This window comes from Homo sapiens, chromosome 7, assembly GCF_000001405.40.
Source record: "Homo sapiens chromosome 7, GRCh38.p14 Primary Assembly".
Taxonomy (NCBI): domain Eukaryota; kingdom Metazoa; phylum Chordata; class Mammalia; order Primates; family Hominidae; genus Homo; species Homo sapiens.
The window spans coordinates 14,318,289-14,342,958 of NC_000007.14; the positions used below are offsets into that span (position 1 = coordinate 14,318,289).

At 33.9% G+C, this 24,670-nt stretch overlaps 1 protein-coding gene across 22 annotated transcripts in view, besides 2 other annotated features; it reads right to left on the reverse strand.

Annotated features, from left to right (window-relative positions):
• Positions 1-24,670, reverse strand: part of DGKB (diacylglycerol kinase beta) — an 829,810-nt gene that overhangs the window by 173,240 nt on the left and 631,900 nt on the right. For 21 of the 22 annotated variants that reach the window (NM_001350722.2, NM_001350711.2, NM_001350717.2 and 18 more), the window contains one exon: positions 20,227-20,422. In NM_001350722.2, the coding sequence (NP_001337651.1) occupies positions 20,227-20,422 (196 nt within the window). Of the gene's footprint in view, positions 1-17,550; positions 18,428-20,226; positions 20,423-24,670 lie in introns of those variants that run through there. The other variant, XM_017011790.2, reaches the window with a different exon arrangement.
• Positions 13,983-14,183: a silencer, noted in NCBI's record as "peak6405 fragment used in MPRA reporter construct". NCBI's record gives its function as "represses an SCP1 promoter by STARR-seq MPRAs in K562 erythroleukemia cells {active_cell/tissue: K562}" and the evidence as "EXISTENCE:reporter gene assay evidence [ECO:0000049][PMID:32103011]".
• Positions 21,714-22,827: an enhancer, noted in NCBI's record as "VISTA enhancer hs816". NCBI's record gives its function as "enhancer in: hindbrain (rhombencephalon)[9/10]" and the evidence as "EXISTENCE:transgenic organism evidence [ECO:0001131][PMID:17130149]".

Here is a 24,670-nt window from a genome sequence, read left to right on the forward strand (position 1 = left end):
ATCTAATTAAACTAAAGAGCTTCTGCACAGCAAAAGAAACTACCATCAGAGTGAACAGGCAACCTATAGAATGGGAGAAAATTTTCGCAACCTACTCATCTGACAAAGGGCTAATATCCAGAATTTACAATGAACTCAAACAAATTTACAAGAAAAAAACAAACAACCCCATCGAAAAGTGGGCGAAGGACATCAACAGACACTTCTCAAAAGAAGACATTTATGCAGCCAAAAGACACATGAAAAAATGCTCACCATCACTGGCCATCAGAGAAATGCTAATCAAAACCACAATGAGATACCATCTCACACCAGTTAGAATGGCAATCATTAAAAAGTCAGGAAACAACAGGTGCTGGAGAGGATGTGGAGAAATAGGAACACTTTTACACTGTTGGTGGGACTGTAAACTAGTTCACCCATTGTGGAAGTCAGTGTGGCGATTCCTCAGGGATCTAGAACTAGAAATACCATTTGACCCAGCCATCCCATTACTGGGTATATACCCAAAGGACTATAAATCATGCTGCTAATAAAGCACATGCACACGTATGTTTATTGCGGCATTATTCACAATAGCAAAGACTTGGAACCAACCCAAATGTCCCACAATGATAGACTGGATTAAGAAAATGTGGCACATATACACCATGGAATACTATGCAGCCATAAAAAATGATGCGTTCATGTCCTTTGTAGGGACTTGGATGAAATTGGAAACCATCATTCTCAGTAAACTGTCGCAAGAACAAAAAACCAAACACTGCATATGCTCACTCATAGGTGGGAATTGAACAATGAGATCACATGGACACAGGAAGGGGAACATCACACTCTGGGGACTGTTGTGGGGTGAGGGGAGGGGGGAGGGATAGCATTAGGAGATATACCTAATGCTAGATGACGAGTTAGTGGGTGCAGCACACCAGCGTGGCACATGTATACGTATGTAACTAACCTGCACAATGTGCACATGTACCCTAAAACTTAAAGTATAATAATAAAAAAAAATATTGCAATAAATGGAATGTAGAAGCAGATATGAGAATCCAGCTGTCTTCTATTAGACCAGACATTACAGAGATTTATAAAAAGCAATACAGTGCCACTCTTCTTACTAAATTTTTGTTTTTTAAATATAGTTATTTAAAAATATATTTATAGTAACATGTAATAGGTTTATTAAGACTTTTAAATGAATACATATTTTAATAATTTCTCAGCCTTAATGTTTTATATGGTAACAATAGATGTACCTCACATAAGCAAAAGTTCTTTAGGATTTTCAATAATTTTTAAGAGTATGAAGGGATCCTGAGACTAAAAGTTTGAGAACCAGTGTACTCTTTGGCTAATTGGGCTAGATGAGCAATAAATGATATGTAGGCTGTAGATCTTATAAGATAATGACTTGCCAGGGTGTGAAAGATAAATCCTCTAAAGAGTCAATTCATCTTTGTATTATGCATCCAGTGGTCTATAGTATGTCAGGACATGTTCTCCAAAATAAAAGATAAAGTATTGTATTTTATACTTACAGCACTAAGAAAAAGTGCAATGTTGGTACCTTGTCCCCATTCCTATAAGTTCATCCACAAGCATCTTCTTTGGAACACTTTGTTAAGATCTACAGGTCCATTTGTATTCTCACCTTGGGCTACTCTCTATACAAAGGATAACTGGGCAGGCTCCCAGAGCTCTGCTCATTGGGAATTTCTCCTTTCCACTACCCCAAAAGCAGCACTGCTGGAATAGCAGCCCTTTTTTAGAAGCACACTAACAAAGCAAGATAAACTATTCAAGAACTCTCATTAAAGCTTTTCCTTCTCTGACATTTGGTCCTAAGAGTCATAGGTGGGAGCTGAGGGGGAGGCGGGGGTCCAGCAGTGGTGGGAACAACAGACACTCATGCAGCTTTCCTCGCTCTCTGGCCCTACATGTCTGATCCAGGTGTTCTATCTACTTCTATCTTACAATGAATTCTGAGCTTATGACTTGGTTGGTCTAACAAAACTCAGCATATGGTGGGCCCTGTGATTTCATTATGGTCACTTGCTATGGTCAGATGATCCATATTTATAGAGTCCAAGTAGCACGTCCAGAGCTTGTTCTCAGTTGACATATAGTTTTCTGCTGCCAATGCCATAGCCTTGCTCCACAGCCTTAGACTACATTGTGATTCTCTTATTGAAGTGTGTCATCAACTCCACAAAGCATCTTTTCCACATATATATATGTACCGCATATGCGGTACATATATGTACTATATAGTACATATATATATGTGTACATATATAGTACATATATATAGTACATATATGTGGTACATATATATATATAGTCCTGTAGGGTCTGTCCTATAACTTAAGTTACAGGGCTGCTTGCATTTCAGATTGACCTATAATAGAATCATTTTATGGTCTGCATCTGACACAAAGCTATAAGCCTCTGTTATTAGATAAAGTAGTTAGAGCCATACTCACAAGTGCAGGTCATACTGCCTACCAACTTTGCCCTTTCTGTTTGCATAACCTTATTAAATAAACCTAATGATGACATGATAGGAAAAATAATTCATGACCATTCTCATGAACATAGATGCAAAATTTTAAATGTAATATTAATAAATAAAATCCAGTGTTGTATAACAAGATAATACAACATTCCAAGTTAGATTTATTTAAGGAATACACGGTTGCTTTAAAATTTAAAAATTCAGCAGCCAGGAAAGGTGGCTCATGCCAGTAATCACAGCACTTTGGGAGGATGAGGCGGGCGGATGACTTGAGCCCAGGAGTTTGAGACCATTCTGGAAAACATGGCAAATCCCTGTCCCTACAAAAAATACAAAACTTAGCCAGACATGATGGCACATGCCAGTGGTCCCAGCCGCTTGGGAAGCTGAGGTGGGAGAATCTCTTGAGCCCAGGAGGCAGAGGCTGCAGTAAGCCAGTATCACATCACTGCACTTCAGCCTGGGCAACAGAGTGATACCCTGTCTCAGAAAAAAAATTAAGCAATGTAATTCTCCACATTCACAGGATAAAGAATAAAAAGTATGATTCTCTCAATAGATGAAAAACAATAATTTTATAAAAATCAACATGTATTTATAACAAAACATAGTAAATTTGAAATAAAGAAGAAATCTTTAACCTGAAAAGGTGTATCCATAAAAGTATACAAGGAACATTAGAGAAATGGTGAACTATTGAAATCTCCCCCACAGCCTCCAATATCAAGAACAAGACACCAACGTCCATTTTCACCCCATGTATTCAGCCTTGCACTGGAGACTTTAAACAGAGAAATAAGAAAAAAAAAAAAAAAAGAAAAGGATTAAGGGTAAAAAAAGAAGGAATGAACCATCATCATTTATTGATGGCATGATATTTATTTAAAGTCCAACAGTCTATAGATACAGTATTAGAATTGATAAGTGATTTTAGAAAGCTGTGTATTTTGGTACAACAAAAACAATTAGAGAGTAAAAGTTAGAAAATATATTTTTTAGAATAGCACTGTTAAACACCAAATATCTAGGCATAAGACAGCTACATAGAAAGTTATAAACCATTATAAGAAACTAAAATGAAAAAAATGGAAAGCTATACCATGTTCACCATTTAGAAGACTCAGACTGTAAAAATGCCAATTGTCCCTAAACTGATCAATGTAATTTTATTCAAAATCCCTGTGGTATTTATTTATTTATTTATTTTAGAGGGGAGACATTAACAAACTGATTAACAAAACATTAATTAGGAAACTGTAGTACTGGCGTAAGGACTGATGAATCGACCCATAGGGTAGAACAGGTGTCAGCAAACTGTGGCTTTGTGCCAGATCTGGCCTGCTGCCTGTTTTTGTTGGAGCAGAGCCATGCCCATTTATTTAGGTATTGTTTTTGGCTGTTTCTGTGGTACAGTGGCAGGGATGAGTAGGTATGACAGAGAGTATATGACCCAAAGCTTAAAATATCTACTATCTGACACTACAGAAAAAGCCTTCTGACCCCTACTGTGGAATACAGTGTTCAGAAATAAATAAACTCATAAACAGAAACTTGGGATTAAGATTATGTTACCACTGAGTAGTGGGTGTAGGAGTCTTTTCAATAAATACTGCTGGGTCAGTTGGATAATGATATGAAAAAAGAAATTATTCTTGATCTAAATTTAAACCATGCACAAAAATCAATTCCATCTTAATGTTAAAGTTAAGCCAATAAAGCTTCTCAAAAATAATATAGCAGATGTTCAAAATTATTTTTAAAAACTACAGATAAAAAGCAATAAGAAAAAAGTAATAAATGGATACATTGGACTTTAATAAAATTAAGACATTCTGATGTTTAAGACTTTGTAAACTATAGGCAAGGCACACAGTGAAAGAATATATTTGCAACCCATAGAGAACAAAAGATTCTAGTTCCTTCAAATATAAATTATATATAATACCAGTTAAAAAATAGGCAAAAGACTTGGGCAGATATTTCACAAAAGAAAATGTCCAAATGATCTGGTCACATAAAATGATGTTTCACATCATTAGTCATCATTAAAATGCATATTTACAGAACAATAAATTAGGATGCCTAAATTAAAAAGACTCATCATTCAAAGTGTTGGAGAAGATGTAGAGCAGTGATAGCCCTTGTGCACTGCTGATCATAGCGCAAATCAGTACAATCACTTTTAGTAGCGTCTACTATAGCTGAACATGCACATACCTTATGACCCAGCAATTTTTATTACTCAATTTATACCCAGAAAAATATATAATCTTCAATGATAATGTTCATAGAAGTACAATTAGTAATAGCTTCCCACTGGAAAAAGCTGCGTACTCATAAAATTAATACTATAAAATAATGAAAATATGGAATTTAAAAGGCCAGATGCAAATCAATATATGCCATATAATTCTACTATAAAATATAAAAACCAGAAACATTTATTCATGGTGAAAAAGGTCAGCATATTGAGTAGGGCAAGTGAACTAGGGGTTTCTGTGGTGTTGGCCGTGTTCTATTTATTGATCAGAGAGAGTGGTTACATAGGTGTATTGACTATCAAAATTCATTGACGGTACATATAAGACATGTACACTTTTCTGCACATATGTTGTAGTTTATGACAGCGTTCAGTTTCATTAAAAGGATAACACATAGAGAGGGAGTAGGGAATCGGAGGAGATGGGGTGATATTTTAGACAGGGAATCAGAGAAAGCTTCTCTTAAGAGAGCATATTTTAACAATGACCTGTTTTCAGTGACCTGAAAGAAGCAAGTGAGAAGCCATGCGAAGCCATGGAAAGTCATATTAAGATCTGAGATAAGAATATTCCAGGCAGAGAGAATATCAATGCAAAGGCTTTGAGATGATGTCATGCTTGATGTGTTTGATGAGTATCCGAAAGCCTACTTGGGCTTGAGTAGAGTGAGAAGAGTTGTCATAAATTAGATTGGCTGACACATATTAAACTATTGAGTGAATGACTTATATGAAGATTCACATTTCTGGTCTTGGCATGATTATTTCTTGTTATCTGTCCATTAAATATACATGAAACATTGTAAAATGGTTTTCAAAAAACCTGTCTATTAGCCTTAGAAAACAACAGATTTAATACCAGGGTAATCACTTTACTTAGTTCAAGAACTGAATTCCATTTCACTAAATTTTCAAAGTCTAGAGAAAATGTTTTGTCCATCCTACACAATTCCTAATGAAGGAAAAAGACAGAAACCAGCAGTTAATCAAGACATTAGTTAAGTTGAGGGAAAAATATGTTGATAAAAGCATAATCTCTTCATTTACTGATCATTTATGGGAAAAGAGCTATACGCAAATTTTATATATGCATATGAAAGTTTTGGCGGGCACAGTGGCTCATGCCTGTAATCCCAGCACTTTGGGAGGTCAAGGCCGACAGATCACTTGAGGTCAGGAGTTTAAGACCAGTCTGGCCAACATGGTGAAATTGTCTCTACTAAAAATACAAAAATTAGCTAGGCATGGTGGCATGCGCCTATAATCCTGGCTACTTGGGAGGCTGAGGCAGGAGAATTGCTTGACCCCAGGAGGCAGAGTTTGTACTGAGCCAAGATTGCACCACCGCACTCCAGCCTGGGTGACAGAGTGAGACTCTGTCTCAAAAAAAAAAAAAAAAGAAAGAATGTCAGATTTAAGACCCGACACCAGCAGCAATGGAAACCGAACAATAGAAAATCATTCTTTCAAGGACTTATTTCTCTTAAAGATATAATTACCTAGGATTGTCCATGAAGAATGAGCAATGTCATTTGCGGTGATGGAAGCTCATTACCAGGTGGCAAAAAAACAATAATTATACTTTCTACATTTTATAAGAACCTAGACATACTACATTTTAACCCTGTGATGTTTTCCTTTTTAATTTAAAAATAGCAGCATCAGCAATCACCACCAAGAATAAAACAATAACACACGCGAGAACAAGATACATATTCAAAGTCCTGAGACCTCACAGTTTCCCTGAGAGTTGCAAGTGTCCTGCAATGAGACAATGGACGCTTCTGCCTAGAAAGAGTTGCTGCAGAAGCAGGAGACACTAAACTTTAAACAAAATCATAGAACTCTTTCAACCTTTCTTCTCGTATTGAGTCTACGTTAAAGTGCCATAAATCTTGTTGACAGTTACTGCCACATCTATTGGCACACAGTCAGCATCTGTTTGAAAAGAGTTTTGCAGCATAGGTAGGGCCCATTACCTGTTCTCTGTCTTCTCTTAGTATTTATTTTCACCCCAGCAGGCAGCACCTCACAATGTCATTAATTTCTTAGTCAGCCTGTACTTTCCCTTACAGCCACTTAGAGAGTGCTCTTATAAACAGCTCTGTGCATCACCAGAAATGCATTGCACCTCTAGAAGGAAATCAGAAATTTAAGAGCAGCAGGTACAACGTGAACTGGTTGCTGAGGTGATGTGGTCTCTGTTGCTAGATCAGTGGGGGGTCATCATGGTGATTTGGTTATATGGTTCCGAGGGAATCAGTGCTGTTGGCCAACACAATCTTAAGAAAGTGAGCGATGGTAGATGTGCAACTGAAGGGAAAGCAGCAAGAAAATACGATATTCCACGATTCACCATGAAGAAGAAAGCAACAAATGAGTAGACAAGACAGCAAGAAATTACCTGCATAAAGAAGGCATTCTAATCATCCCAATACCTGAAAAGAGTGAACTGTACTCTAGTCAACTTTCGTTGGGATAAATATTCTAATAGGAATTGCCCCTTTCTTCAGAAAGGATGATTAAAAAACATCATCAATCAAAGCTGGACCAGAAAAGCAATCAGAACCTAATTCTTCATTAGAACAGGTTTAAAGATGTCCAGTCATGAGGACTCTACTACTTTAATCATAATATGGTTTTTTTACAAAAATTAAAAATTTCCATAAACTAAAATATGGATCACATTTATTTTTATTCTTCTGTGGGGCCAGGACTCATTTCTAGAAGGGCTACTGGTCCACGGTTAGAAAATGGCCCCTTCACCTCTGTGGTAAATGTGGGCTATATGTTTGGATGTGCTTCAAATATTCTAGATGGGTAGCTTTGTGCATATTTTAAATTTTATAGAAAAATAATACAATCTTACATTTCTATTTAATCATTGTTTAAAATGTATTGAGCTGTAAAAATCACACAAGGAGGTAGAAAAGTCAGAAATGTTTATGTCTACTTATATAGGTTATGAGACAGACCTGGCAAAGATAATTAGGTCACAGATTTCTTTTTTTTTTTTTTTTAACCATACAACTTATTGTATTCATGTGCTTATAGTCTAGGAAACTAAAAACTAAAACCTGTGTGTAAGAAACTCAGTAGCCTTCAATGTCTATGTCAAAAGTCTCCCCTATTAGCAGCTGCTAAGTGGAAAAGAAAGCTGAAGGAAAGCAGCCTGGGTAAGTTGAGAATTCTAATAAACCAATTGGTATGATACTAATTTGCTCTTTTTTTTTCCTTGCCCATGGAATATGATAACTCATTTTTATCATGCACCTTTGGGAAGATTGAAAACCAAAAAAATGAAAGAAAAGTCAGTACAGTATTAGAACTAATGTCTTCCCACCCAAGCTACTGTGTTCTGGTGCATGAGTCAGGTGGAGCGGTGCTACAAGGTCAACCAAGAGAGTGGGTTGTTCAACTACTGTGGCAGGAATCACCATAGAATGGACATTCTCACCTGGAGGAGGACTTGTAATGAAATCTGAAGAAAACATTATTCTCAAGAGATAATATGTAGTGGAAGGAAAGAAAATTAAGACAGAGAAGAAGGAATTCCCTTCTCCTGTCTATACATTTTCAACCTCCTTTCCTTTGCGGGAATGGCATAATGATTTGTTTCTTAGAGAACCTTGTTTTGTTGTTTCCTATCAGCTTCCTCTGCAAAACAAAAACACCCCTGAACCCGCCTTCCTCTTGAAGTAATACTTTGGTTCCCTGATTTTCTGATTAGGGCTTTCAAAATAATTTGTGTTCAAGTATGTTTTTATTCCAGGCTTCATTTTGATATCTACATGTCCATTATTAGCCTGTCCCCATTAACCAATTAAGTACACATGCAAACACACACATGCACACACACATACACTCTCTATTACAACACATATACACAAGACATATCTGAGTACTCACTAGTAAATACTCATGTGTACTAAAGTCTACCACAGGGGTTTCAAATGTCAGTTGTGTTTTTTAGTTTAATTCAACTTTTATACCTATAGTAATTCATTTATTTCATTTTTGATTATTTTAAATGTTTTGGATAACAGAATGGCTCTTGAATTGCAACGGAAGTTAAATTTCAGTATCTACCATAAACAGCACATTCATTTCATTCCTCAAGAATGAAAACACCTGTTATAGTTCCTTTTTGATTGCTGACTTTTAAATGAACATTTGGATGAAAAGTAATGTTTACAAAGATAACATATATAAAATATTCAGAAGACAAACAGCAGAAATGAGAAACAAAAAAAAGCAAACAGAAATTTAAAATAGTTTGTCTTAACAAAACAATTACAATAAAGAATTTATTAAAAACCTTTGGAAGAAACTGTTTCCAGTAATTTAAAAATAAACAGAAAATATATTAACAAATAATTGAAAATAATATCTAACTGCACAAATGTATAAAATATCTAACTCAAAATAGCACTGTTAATATGTCAGTATATTTTAGTTAACATACTTTTAAAATGAGACACACAGATTACTTCATTGCATATCTCTGAGAGCTCCTCAAATCCTACACACATTTTAAATTGTTAAATTTGATACAATTACTGTCTTTTTAAAATCAAAAGAGCATTTTCCTACTTTTAGACTGAGTAAAAGATGCATTGACTCCTTGCTTCCCACTAGACTCACTAGACATTCTGATACTGCACTCGTGGTGAGCTGGCCAGAGTGAGGTTGTGAAAAAAAGACAACAATACCGAGGACATTTGGGCAAAAAAGTATTTATCACCAAGTATAAAAATTTTTGTAAAGCCATCACTGATTAATACATTATTTCATTTTTGCTCAATTACTTACTAGAGAAATGTATAAGTAGCATTTTCAGTTCCTTGCAAGAGACCATGGTTAGCTTATTTCATGGCAAAAACATGTTAAAATATGAAATGACTTCTCAAACCTATTTTATATGGAAGTCACATTTTTGTGCACATGACTTTTTAATTTTGAAAAGACGTTTTATCACAAATTCCATGAAACTTTCTTTCAGTAAATCTAAAAATGGAATGTTCTATGATACTAGTTGACTTTCCATCTCTTACTATTCTTCTAACAGGATACTCTGAAAATTTGAATATCATAGACTTAGTAAGAAAATATGTTTTATGTAGCTTTTTGGGTTAAGAAGCATTAGTAGGAAAACAAGTCAGTGTGCTAAGGGCTTTAATTATCCGAAGAGACATACATTTATATATTCGGTAAAATAAAATTATTTAATGTTCTTCGTTATTCAATATTTTTGAAAATATTGTTATGTTTGTGTTTTATTCACAGAAATTCAGTTTTACAAATAGCAGCTGATTTTTTATTAAACCAGAGCCAAATTACTAATTTCAGTATTAATAGTTAGCTTTGACATGTTTAAAAAGGGTAGAAAGTACGTAATAGACCTGTCTTCAACTCTGAAATGAACAGCTGCTCAGGGAAATGGAATTGTTCAAAGATACATTTTCTTTCTGCCAATCTGTGAAATATAATATAATTATTCTCTTTTAATGAATCTCTCAACGAGGAGCAATCTTTCAGAGCTTGAGCAGGTAAAATATAATGATAATGGGAACAGCTTTGTAAATAAAAGGATGAAATGAGATTGTTATTTTGTGCCATATTATGGGATAATTAAAATAACAGTGCAGCATTCAGCAGGTATTTGAACTTTCTAAAAAATGCTCCCCAGGGCTCTTTTAAATTAGTCATGTTTATCCATGTAGATTTGTAATCTTACTGCAAATGTCTGTCACCTTATAATATTCAGACCTCAATACTTAATCTGATTAATATCTGATACTGTACAACAGCTAACAAACCTTGCCGAAAGCAGACATTAAAATAATAACCTGAGTTGACAAACTCGAATTTATTAAAAGAAGAACAATAGAACTATTTTCATTAAGCCAGGAGAATGATTACTCTCAGTGTGGTGGGACTCATGAACTACATGAGATTCTATGTATTTCCACAAAACAGAGTGGCCGCACACTTCCAAGGAGCTACTATTCACATGATAATTAGCTCTATATAATAAAAGAGTATATTCATGGAAACTAAACTCATGGCAATGGAACTCCAATGGCTAGTTGCTTTGTTTAATTCAAATTCATACAGCTCAAATACAAGTAGATGATGAGATCTGATTTTTCAAGAAACAAGTTCCTTTGCAGTTCACTGGACCCTCCTAGCACCCTTCTTAGAAAAAGTGTGCAAGCAGAATCAAGTGCTAGAGTGTGGCCATTATATCACATCCATTAAAGTTATTAGAAAACAAAATATAAATAAAGAAGGTAAAATAAAAGTCTGATATCTCTTCTGGTATAACTTTAAATTGCTAGTGAGATATCATTTCACGAAATGGTACAATTGAAGTTTTATTCTCAATTAGGTTGTAGTTTTTCTCAGTTATTATTCTCTATCTGGAGGAACAAGGAAAATGGTTTTTAATATCAATAAATAAGTAACTGTGACTTCTGTTTCATACTTTCTGTAGCTGATTTCATGTCTTTTTAATAGTTCTTTCATGCTTATAATTTTTTAAAATCCTCCCCAACTGATTGTCAGATATCCTGATGATAGAAAGAAATTATTGTAATTTCCTGGGGAGCTATCTACCACCTTAGCTTCAAATCATTACCCTCAAAGGGCAAGATCGCTATCAGGCTTTATATTTAGGAAATTTGTATGGATAGCCTCATATCTGGAAACTTTATGTGTCTACTATTAGAAGGTATACTCTACATGTGTTATTTAATCACTTGAGCGTTATATTATCAGGCAATATTTATTTAGTTTGGAAATCTGTTTTATATGTCTACCACTGGGTACGTTAAATTGACTTAAAGTTAAGATGCAGCTTTACTCTAGGTAGGTGATCTGCCACTATTTTCAATAGACAGAGGACTGGACAACTGTGCCACAGAAACAAATAAGATGATAATTTTACCACTGATATCAGATATCAAGGTCTACAGAACATACCCATTAAAGCATTTGTATTTTCTAATCTTCTCTGCAATTGCAAAAATCAATAGCTAGAAATATAGAAGGGTTTTAGAATAGCATGTAGAATTTTGAAAATAAACAATGTATTCTTCCTCAGAAGTCATATAAGATTAACAATCTGAGCCTTAATTAAAAATCCTGAGTAAACACATTCATTTCCTTTTTCCCTTGCAACTATTAAATTGATCAATAAACCATATATTTTTCAAAATGCGACTGGTACTAAAAACTCATTTTTCTTGTTTCCCTACATTCATTAGGTGATAGAGAGTTGCTCATTATTCTGCCATCCCTGTGTACCTTTTTGGATTTTGCCCATTTTCCTAATTTCAATTTCTTTTCAGGAATGAACAAATTGATGATCAATGGTGATGATTTCATTTATATATTAGAAAATACCACTTTTCTGTTTAAATGATTACTTACCTGTTATATTCAATTTAAAATGGCTTTGCAGTCTTACCAATTCTACCATAAAAAGTTATAGCATTATACTTCTTGTCAGATTTTGTTTTTAAAATTATACTGCACACCAGATTTTTTAAATTTTACTGTTGAACAAGGGGAAAGGTGGCAATAATGATGGTCATGAAAAGGTAATTTGTATACCTTCAGAAGACATATGAGAATATTCTAAATATTGTCATCTAGTGGCTCAGTTCCTCCAAAATATTATTCATATTTCTAGTTTGTGCTTTTTAAATTTCTAGGAGCTACCAGTGTCTGCAGTTTCTACAGTACTATGACAAATAGAAATTTCATTAATGCTTCTCGATAATGCATGTGCTTTTATAGGATAGCCAAACAAAGGATAAGAGTACCTGGTCTTATATATTGAAAATTTTTTTATTTTTACATTTTAGAAATATGCCTTATATTCTCTAACTTTTTATTACTTTTTACAAACTTCAAAATTATAACTTAAAAAAAATCTTAGTGCCATCACATTAAGATACCCAGGTATATGATGTAATCTTAAATTTAACAGCAATTTTGATATTTAGTCTTATTAAGCATATGCTATTATTTGCATTACCATTGCTAAAAAATTTCAAAGGAGGCAGTTTAAAAACATAGTTGGGAGACATCTACTTAAAGGTTACTAGATAGCAAATGTTTGGATCTATCTATTTTCAACCAATGAAAATATCATGGTATTAGTGTATGCATATATTTTTGTGAAATGCAACATCTCAAACGCCATACTATTTTTCAACAGTTTTAACAACCAGGTGTAATAATGCTGCATGAAATCCTTTTCTTGTTTCCAAATTTAATTGATTTAATCACTGAAATTAAATGCTTGGAAATTCTTCTGCTTGCCGGTGTTTGAACGCCAAATACATCATCTACAGTTCTAAAATGAATATTGCATTTATATTTAGACAACTTAAAACACTGCTTTCTAAATTACCCTAAATAACCCATAGAAATGTCTAGAAAAATTCATAATAGTGGATGACAAATGTCCATTGCCATCAACCTTCAAATAAGAATAACTTTTACAAGGTATACAAAGTGTACAATTATCTGGGAAATATAATGTAAAGCACACATAGATTAATCTTACTTCTTCCAGCACTCACCACCAGTGAGCTCTTCCAAAACTCATCTTTAAAGATGAAGACATGGGAGCTAGAAATCATATTTATCTTCAGAGGCAAAAGAAATTTAAGTTTTGCCAAGCTTTCACAGACGTCAGCTCATTTATTCTCTTTGATCAATTTGGTTTGTATTGCTTTGTTTTGCTTTTCTTCATAATTTCTGGGAGTTAAAAAATTAATAGTAATAAAGTCACTTGAGTAGAGATACTCCTTGACAGCCAATCAGATACACAGTCTCTCCCAACAGTGCATAGAGAGATCAAATAGGGTGAGATGAGGATATGTTTGGTGCAAAGTATATGGAAAAGCTTATTCTGGGGGAAATAATACATAGTAAATTTTATCCAAGATGATGAAGAATAAAAACAATGTTTACAGTAAAGTATTTCCACATGGGGCTACTTATCTGAGTTTGTTTGTTTGTTTTTTGTTTTTTTGGCCTGAATTTTTCCATGAAAGATAGTAGCTAGCATTAACTAGGCATTTGCTACGTACTGGCCCCTATTCTAAGCTTCTAATCTGGGCTTTTCTCATTCTCACAGTCACCATATGAGGAAGGCGCCATTCTTTGTGCCCATTTTAGAGATAAGGAGATTAAAGTACAAGGACATGAAGTTACTTGCCCAAAGTTGTCCAGATAAGCAGCAGAGTTGGGGTTTGAGCCAGCTGGAATCTGGTGCCTGCACCAAGAACCACGAACACTATGCCGCCTTCGTGGAATGTGTAGGAGTGATTAAGCTTAAGTATTTCCACATGGGGCTATGCAAACACTATCAAGGTGGTGAAAACTGCAGCAGCTGAGTGTAGTTTTCTAAACTTTAGTCTTTCTGGCTTCACCTTCACAATTTTGGCAACATCTAAGTATCTTCTAAATTATCACTTAGGTAGGATGTTTTACTCTATTTTTACTTGAATTAATTTTTAAAAGAAAATTTTGATTAACATTATAAATGATAGTAAAAAATTCAGCATTTCTTACCACAAAGAGAAGACAACTGTAATAGTAAATATAAAACCATTAAACTTTTAAAACATTCATCCATGTACCCACTAACCCATCTCATTTTCCATCAGTGGAGTCCTTGCTGGGTTTTGGGAAATTCTGCCCGAAGAAAAGAGTATCATTGTTAAATGTGAATGAAATCACTGAAAACTGTCTGGACAATATAATATGTTAATTAGTTTTTAAATAAACTTTTGCATGATGGGTACCTGGACAGTTGTATCCATATGCAGGGTAGACAGTCACCTATTAATGAGGTTTCAAGCAGAAAGTCCAGCTGCTCCCTTAGCTTCTGGCAAATGTTTGAAACTCCATAATTTGAATATAATTACTTTCGCTCAGTGGTTATCAAACTTTTTAAAGCAGTCAACAACTTCATTTTAAACAAAGCAACATTTTATAAACCAGTAAGTAAAAGAGAAAATTGAAATTTTATTTGTGCAAATCCATTTTAGAAGTTCTAATTGCTAACACTCTCAACACAATCAATCAGTGAGAGGCCGGGGGCAGTGGCTCACACCTGTAATCTCAGCACTTTGGGAGGCCGAGGATGGTGAATGATGCGGTCAGGAGATAGAGACCATCCTGGCTAACACGGTGAAATACCCCTCTACTAAAAATACAAAAACAAAATTAGCCGGACATGGTGGCGGGTGCCTGCAGTCCCAGCTACTCTGGAGGCTGAGGCAGGAGAATGGCGTGAACCCGGGAGGTGGAGCTTGCAGTGAGCCGAGATCCCACCACTGCAATCCAGCCTGGGCAACAGAGTGAGACTCCGTCTTAAAAAAAAAAAAAAAAAAAAAATCAATCTGTGAGAATAATGGATCTATTTTGAGGAAGACAATTGCAATGCGATAGTATCTTATTTTTCATAGATTTCTGCATTTTGTTTTGGTTTTGTGGTATTGGCAATATCCTGATACAGACATATATATATAATCAAATAGTATGAATGTGTTGCTTCTCAGCCATGTTGAACCATTCTGTCTCCACTACCAAAAACTGGAATAGACTTGGATCTTCAAAGCTAAATCAATTAGAGTAACTAAAATGGTTCATATTCCTTGAGAGGTCCTCACTCTTGGTTAAAAAATACCTTTCAAAAGTGTCTTTTTAACAGAATTTTTCACTTTCAACAAAACAAATTCATGACATAATGATACTTGCTGTATCATTGAATTGAATTGAATTGCAAAGCTTCAATTAGTCAAATATATTTTATTCTGTGTACATACCTGAAAAGCTCCAATTTCATTGCTGGCTGCTTACACGCAGTTGTGAGCATGTTTAAAATCTTCTCTGATAAAAGTGTGCTTGATATATAAGCCAGTACAAAATTATTATTAATATTTGGGGGAGTTAATTAACTGATACAATTTCTTTATGAGGAAAAATACATCTTATGGTGGTCTGCATTTTCATTTAGGTATCATCACTTTGTTTTCATGTCCACTGATTGCCATATGTTGTTTGGTGCTTGTGCCATGCAAAAGTACCTGAATTTGCTGGCCTTTTAATTGCATGTGGTTCCCATGCACTGTGGTGGTATTTGCACAATATTGTGGCCCATTTGCACAATATTTCTCATGAGATATGCAAAGACATATTTTTAAATGTCCATTGCAGATCTATAGACTTTCCAGTCAATGCCACAGTTATTTATTTCTTTATATGTATATACATATGTGTGTGTGTGTGTGTGTGTGTGTGTGTGTGTGCGCGCGCGTGTATGTGGGTATGTATAACTATCTATATATGCATCTACCTATATAGAAAGAAAAAAGAGGAGGAAGAGAAGGAGGAGAAGTTGTTTTTGTCTGGTAACACAAGTTAATGATTTGAGAACTGTTAATATGACAAATATATTTTTATTATAGTTTTTTTATTGTCCGCAAATCTGGCAATGAATTTTTTTTTTTTACATTTATTACAGAACTGCAGAGGAATTGCAGTTATAACTCAATGGAACACAGTTTGAAAAATAACATTTTAGCTGAAGGTCTTTATATCTTTTAAAATGCAAAAACCTCTACTTTCATCTGCAATCAGTCATTTGTACATTAATGTGAATGAATTTATTAGACATCTTTCTGAGTTTAATTCAGAAGAGGGGGAGGAAAAGATGAACTCAGCTACTGAAAGACATGGGAAAGGTCGAATATTAACGCTAGGAGAACTGAAGACTAATTTGGCCTAGTTTACAGTTTTGCTTCAAGACTATGCCATCTATATATAATACATTTATTTGTATTTATAAACACATATGCACACAAAGAAAATGTCTACTGCATTAGTTGAGTGTGAGTGTGATTATGTTTCAGAATTGCATCCAACTATTTTAGAATATTTTGCTGGAATAATGTAATTACATGAATTACTCACAATTTTGTCAACTCTAAAGTAAGTCAACAGTAAAATTTCCAACCAATGAACTTATTGAAGATATTCTGATTTTATTATGTGAGTGTCTTCAAAGATTGCAAGCAAATAAATTATGCAGAAGTCCCAGATTATGTACAGCTTAATATAAATAAGGACTTAATGCTCCAAACCTGATCTCATACCTTTGGACTATGATATTTCTTTAAATTAAAATAAAAGAGTAAACTTTAAATTAAAATAAAAGGGTAAACTTAAAACAAATTAAATCCTTTTATTAAATAAAATAATTACCTTTATTACATGAATTTAGTTACATGTGTCCCCCATTTTCTCCCCCTCCAAAAGAAACTATCTAAAGTTTATGAAAGCAAGTATCTATTTCAACAGTGTAAAAATTTAGTTGAAACTTCTGATAATTTTTTACAGAGGCATATGAGAAACAGTGTTAGTTAATATTTTAAGAAAGAACAAGAAGAAAATTACGTTAAGTTTTTCATTTCATTTCATGTATTTTCTAACAGTGAAAGTTATTAATTTGACTGTAGGTTAAAAACGTGTTGGACTAGAGCCATATTGGCCATATTCATTCTAAAGTCAGTGCTTATAATGATTTTGTGTGAATTTGAAATATATATAAATTTGAAATACTCACATTTAATACTATTGCTGCTTTGTTGTGTTTTTGTTTTGTTTTGTTTTGTTTTTTTTAAGAGACAGAGTCCTTGCTCCATTGTCCAGGCTGAGGTGCAGTGGCGCAATCATAGCTCACTGTAGTCTTGAACTCCTGAGGTCAAGGGATTGTCCCTCCTCAGCCTTCTGAGTAGTTGGGACTGTAGGCCTGTGCCACCCACCAGGTGCTATTCCCACTTCCTCCTTTCCCAGTATGTTGCCTAGGCTGGGCTTGAACTCCCTGCTTCAAGTGATCCTCCTGCCTTGGCCTCCCAAAGTGTGAGGATTGCATGTGTGAGCCACCATGCCTGCCCTATTGCTGTTTTTATGTCAAGAAATTGAAAACAAAATCAAGTAATAGAAATATTACTATTTAGGAAAGGGATAAATGTAACTATCTCAGTAGTAAATTTTGTTTTTGGCTATTAAGTATAACATTGAAGAATTAGCAGAATAAATATGAAATCAAAACTTAGAAGCATTTTGAGATACTTTTGGTATTCTGTTGCAAAGTATCTCAAAGTGAAAACAATAGTGAAATCATCACTAAAAAGAAAAGACTAATATATAACAGGTTTTTAAAAAATATTCAGCTCAAAAGGTCATTCTTGGTTCTGAGATTATATTTATCCTGAAATAATACTAAATCAAAACTATAAGCTAGTCAGTTAAGTCAGGGAACAGAATTGAGCCTAACATACTTCTGTTTTTGCTCATAGAATGACCTTTGAAACCTCTCTGAGCTCTGCTGTTTTTTAACTATTTCCCATCTGTGTACAGAGAAAAATGTATTACTAAGTCACAAGGCCTATATATTCCCACTTCCTCATTTCCCAGAATTTATGGGAAATTGGTTCTAATAGTTCCACAGTAGAAAGCAAGAAGACAGAAAGGAAAGAGAGCGCTTTTCCAACAGTTACAGGCACTGACAGCCTATGACAATATTTGAGTCTGGTTTGTTTGTAGTTTCTTCCAAATGTGTGTTCCTGAAAAAAAATCATACGAAGGAGGGTGAGTGAGCCCAGGTAAATGACATGTATGCAGCAGCTCCAGAGCGAGTGTACAGACATGTGTTTGGGTGGAGCACAGTGCTGTATCTAAGAGATGTTCAACAACCCAGTGGGTGAATGTAGTTGGCAGCTGAGCCATTGAGAATCAATTTGTATAAGTATCGGGAATGTGTAGATGCAAAAGACATATCAAGTATTGAGATGTAGTGACCAAACAGAAAACTTAACCTGGAAATTATTTTGTATATATTATTTAGTGAAAATATTTTTAAGGAAGGAAGCAAGGAGTACATACGTAGTACCTAATAATACAGGCTATACAATTACAAAAGGGTTTTTTAAGCTTGGTTTTAGTATGGTCCTTAAGCTAATTGCAATACTTAGAATTTTTCACTACCCTTTTTAGAAATCTACTAATTTTACATTTAAATGAATATTTAAATACAAATATAAATTAATTTCAATAACTTCTAGAAACTAATAATTATATTTATTTTCCTCCTCTAATTCATATAGCACGAACCTCATTTTTTCTATATATTTCTCCTTCAAAATATTATTTTCCTCCATATTTTCATACAGTTATATTTTGAGTATGTAATTTTTTAATTGATTTGTTATAAACATGCTTGTACTAATACAATTCTCCAAGATTACTTACACATTTTAAGGGCATCAAAACCACCTGTCATTGGCAGGTTGTGATAAGCATTTCTTTCAAGAGAATACCTAACACTTTCTCCATCAATCTTTTCCACTTTCATGGTACCAAATTTTATATAAAAGAAGTCACTGCTTGTTACTGAAACTTGAACCAGGTACTCAAAGACACCAAAACATAAAGCTATTGCCCACCACCATAAAGCCCACCAACCATCTTCTCACTTTATTCTATTTCATTTTTTAGTAATTTATTTATATTAGTCCATTAACACTGAAATCTCTTCATATTTTGTCCTTGCTACACTGAGCTGAGACAACATGTTTTGATTTCTCAATGTCATCAGTAGTATTAGGTAAATTCTAGAAGGTAAAAATGATATTATAGAATTACATACATAAACTATTGGGACATGATTAGTTATCAGAATATCACATTGATATCTCTAGTTTATAAAATCTCTAAGAATTAGGTATCATGTCCCAATGAGAACTATATTACAATAGAGTTGAAAATTCTGACCCATAGTTAGTCTAGTCTACTTTTTTTAGGTCTTTGCTTTCTGTTTCCCAGGTCTCCTACTTGTTGTTACTAACTTTCTGGAAAAATTCAGCAGACAACCAAAATTTATCATGGGATATTTAAACATTCTGTTATATATGGTACTTAGAACAACAGCTCTGTAAAATAGCTTCAATCTCATAGCCTGACCAAAGCAGAAAAAGAACAAAATCTCTTATAACACAACCTTAGAAAAGCCTTAACTACGTCCTTATTCCAGCAACTCAAATGTCCTATTTAAGACAATCACGTTTCAGAAGAGCTTAATATACAATATCTTCTATTTTATTATCCATGAAATACCCCAAATGTATTTTATTTTCTGTGGGAAGAGCTATATACGAAGAAGAATAACGAAAAATGTAGCCAATTTATACTTGAGTTAGAATCTATTGTGATATAAGTTAATCACACATGGGTATCCCATAATATGAAAAATACAACTGTAAAAATATATAAATTATTATAGTGCAACGGAAGACTCTTTACTTTTAAAGAAGCCTTTGAAAACAGGTTAACAAGCAATTTAACAACTAATTGTTAGAAAACTGACCTTGACTTGCAAACTTCAACTCTTTGGCATCTGTGACGGTGGTCCTTTTGTCAGACCCTTTTTTCTCTATTCGTCGATGGCTTCGTCTTTTCTTAGACTCTCCCCAAAGATTGGATCCTCCATGCATGCTTGGTATATTCAAAATAGCAATTCCTTCCAGAGAGATGTTTATTAAATCTATCTGTACTCCATCACACTGATCGGTAAAAAGAAAGAAACAGAAACGGAATATTTTATCTTTATTTCCCTGATTTCTTGTTTTTCATTTCCTCATCTTTTAATAAGTGCGTTGAAATCCATAATGTTGTCATTTCCAAACAAGCCTTTCAAGAACACTTAAACACTTACCCTGAGTCAATATAAAAGATAAAGCAGCCCCTAACATTAACCAGTTATCTCTAGAAGTCCTTAAAAATGATCAAATTAAATCACCAGTATATCTTTGTTTGTAGAAAACCTTTGGGAGAGACTCGTTAGCATCTGCATATATATTTAACCAGCTGCAAATTTCCAATGTGTTACAAAAAGGTTAATTCTGGAAACTATGGTCAAATTTTAGGAAGAAATTGTGATGATTGCCCCTGTTTAGAACACACTGCAAGGTACTATTGGGGGAAAGTACAGAAAGCAGATTGATGCCTCATGGTCTCACACCTTTGGGGCAGAGAAAGAAGTAGCTTAAAAGACTTTTGCTAAAAAAAAAAAAAGTAAAATTCAAAGCAGAGATTCTAAGAGATTTCAATCACACTGAATTTACCAAGGGTGGTTTCTTGGACTAGATGAAGTCCTAAGGAGATGTCAAAGGCCATGAGAGGCACAGTTGTCCAAATGAATATGGAGGGCCGGGTAGATTGATTGAGGGAAATAGTAGCAGTCAAAAGACCTTCAATCCAGCATGACTTTATAGCTGCTGCAAAAATGGTTAAAAAAAAACCAAGGTTAATCAGCCCAATTTTTCTTATTTTCCTGGTGACAAAACACCCTGGTGATTATGAAAAATATAAAATTCACTAACAAACAATGTTTTGTTATATTCAGAGTGGTCACTTCTTAGTTTTTTGAATTTTCCATTCATTTCCACTACTGGACATATGTGGACAGTGACAAGACTATTCTGTATTTTTAAAATTACTATTTATTTATTCATTTGCCTTGACTTCTTTAAAATGCTAGTTATTATTATACATTCTAGAAATTATTATCCCATTTTCAATTATAAGTGAATATGAAAAGAGATATAAGCGCTTTGTTTTTAAAAGAACTTTGTGAGGGATATGCATTTCCTAAATTGAAATATATTTACAGTGGCGTTGTTTCATTTGCCATGTCTTAGTACAGAAAAAATTATTGACACTAACTTCATCATTTCTCATGGCAGTCATGATTTTTGAACTCAGAAGACACAGTGTTCCATGAAAATGATGAAAAACAAACAAAACAAAACAAAAAAAAGCCCTCTCTTTTTCCACATTCGCCTCATCATACTGAAGCTAGGATTGCATCTTGTTCACTGAAAAATAAAAACTGTGAAATAAAGAAACACATCTTGAGACTACTTGGCAGGGGTAGAAACAAATTCTAGAGAAAGTGCCAAGTTTTCATTTAATTTGTTTCAATGAGGGCGAAACCAAGATCTGGATGATGCTTTTTTTTTTTTTTTTTTTTTTCCAGAAAGCAGTGCTTTTTTCCTCCTTTTCTGGTACTAAATTAAGATGATTTCTTTTTACTAAAGAATTCTGGTCATGTGTATACTCACTTACCGCTATATATTCTAGATAAACAGATATTAATTTCATAATTAAAAGTAATCTTGTGTAAATACCCTGCAGGCCTCAATGAATCAAACACATACTGTGTGTCAGGCCTCCCACTGTCTTCAAGTGGAATGTACTGGCTGGATAATTAGATAGTACATATTTTTTAACCTTATTTGCATGCATATTATATCTTTTGCACACTGACAAGCAGCAGTAACAACAAAAGTCAGATTACCACAGGGAATTCCCACAAAGAAGTCTTCATTCCTTATAATTTGCAGCCTAAATTAAAATAATTTGATCTTTGACAAGGATGAAATGTCAAGCAGAAGGGGGTCCTCTACAAGCCACGGCCTGTGGCTTCTGAAATCTGCCTAATTTATGTCAGTCACTTCTTAATACATATTTAAGTATTACACGAAAAAGATGATAAATATGCAATCTGACACCTTTGGTATTTCCCTGCTGTTAATTTATAAAGGTCTGGCTTCCCCCAAACTGACTAAAATCATTTAAATAACAGAAGAATCATGAAATAAGCTGGAGTCAGGGCCTGGCTTCCATTTTCACTCAATATTGAACACAGCAGGTAGTACACTAAGACAATTATTTGACTAGGCCTTAGAACCCCACTGTGACAAGTTACTTTCAGAATTAGTGAAGGAGGATTCCTTTGTTCATCTGCAGAAAAGGAGAGCATGTTGCAAAGAGGCTTCTTTTTTTTTTAAAAAAAAGAATTGAACCAGCTGAGTTACATGTGACAATTGAAAAACATGAGTGTATGCTATTATTCATGTTTTCACTCTTCAGAGTTTTGTCATGTGTAGTTTTAGGGAAACAGAGTAAGTAGCTCTCTGAGAAGTGAAAAAAAATTCTCAAACAGTCGCAAAGAACAAGGACTGATGAAGAACATTGATGTTCCTTTGAGAGCAGGACAATGTACTTAAATAAATTGCTATTTATTAATGATTTGTTTCCACTTGTTCTTGACCCTAGGCTACCTTCCTCTGTTTGCTTTAACGTTATGTTCATTAGTCTGGAAAATTTCAGTGCTGGTTCTGATGGAGACCAGTAATTGTAGCACACCAGTTGAGTGCATGAAAGTAAAAGCTGAGGTGAAGGCTATGAAATATAAACAAGTTATAGTACTGTGTCAGATAATATTTTCATTCCCTTTGAGATTTATGACTTTTAAAAAGGTAGCTACAGAGGAAAAGAATATAAAAGCTTAAAAGCTAACAGCCTCAGTTAGTCAATAAATCCTGAATATTTTTATTAGGTAGAAAAAAGGTCGTTAACATATAGTACTATGGGAGCTATTTATAGAGTGCAAGGCTGTGATGCCATTGTCTGCTCTTTTCAGTTTTAAAATAGAGGATCTTATTCCAGAGACAAATATAATTAAAAGAAAAGAAGACGGTTTCAATTTTTCTGCCAATGTGTTTTAACCTTCATAAATAAATGAGTCCTGGGTCACACCGTACAGAGGTGTTAAAAACAAGCTTTATATGTGACTTTAGTGTTTCAGATCCACTTAACATGTCAGTTGATAGGACTATTCAAAACATGTGAAGAACTTTGGAGAGCTCTAAGTGTGGATGGTAAATGTGATGAGATACAATTAATGATAAACTGTAATTTTTTTCCATAGTAGGTCTGATTCTATGTCTATATCAGATAAGAATTATTTCTATTTTTACTCAATGAAACGTAAAACATTACTTTATAGGTAATTTCAGTATTAGGACACATGGGGCAGAGACTATGCTTGGGAACTCTGGCTATTGCCTCTAAGAACTCTGTTTTCCAGGTTACTGAGCAATAAGAATATTGTCTTTTGAATCCTGCTAATTTATTTTGTGTTTTTGATGCTAGTCATGCCATTCATTAATTCTTGAGATCATTTAGGTTTCTAGGGGTATTTAATCATTACAATAAATCAGTACTTTGGGATGGAAATTCTTGGCTTTAAAATTTACCATCTTTCCCAGTATCCCTGTCAACCAAAAGACTGAAATATCTATAGAATAGGCTTTCTTATTCTCTCATTAACTTTGCCTGGTACTCTGAGCAAACTGAACATTCATGAACTCTGTATCTTCAATTCCAAATGCTGACCTGAGTTTCTTAGGCACACATTTCACCCCTCCAAATACTTTAATATAAACATTGGTTTTAAAATATTTTCTTGTAATTTTAAAGAATTTATTTTTATCTTTTGTAATAAAGTTAGAAGATAAATGAATATCTTTAAAAAATTCTACTTCGTGTATCATTAAATCTTTACATGTATGTGTAAATACATATATTTTTCAATCAATTTGCTCATTAGATTTAAACATTGTGGCAGCAACATAATTCTTATTTCTCTTAAATTACTGAAGAAAATGTTTATCTCTGCAATGGAGATATAACAGTATCATAAGGTTTTGATAAAGACTAAATCAAATAATATATGTGCATTGTTTAGCATCACCTGTGAGACAGTTAATAATAGGTAAATCTTAACTATTATTCCATGATATTCATATCAACCCAAATATTTGCCCTCTTTTGAAGGTGCTCACTATGTGAAAGAGAAATATTAAATAAAAAGACACACAAAAGATAGTTTGATTTTGAAAAAGCTGCCAATAAAACATGTATCTATTGCTGGAGGTTCTGTTTTTACTGAAGTAGTTTATTCT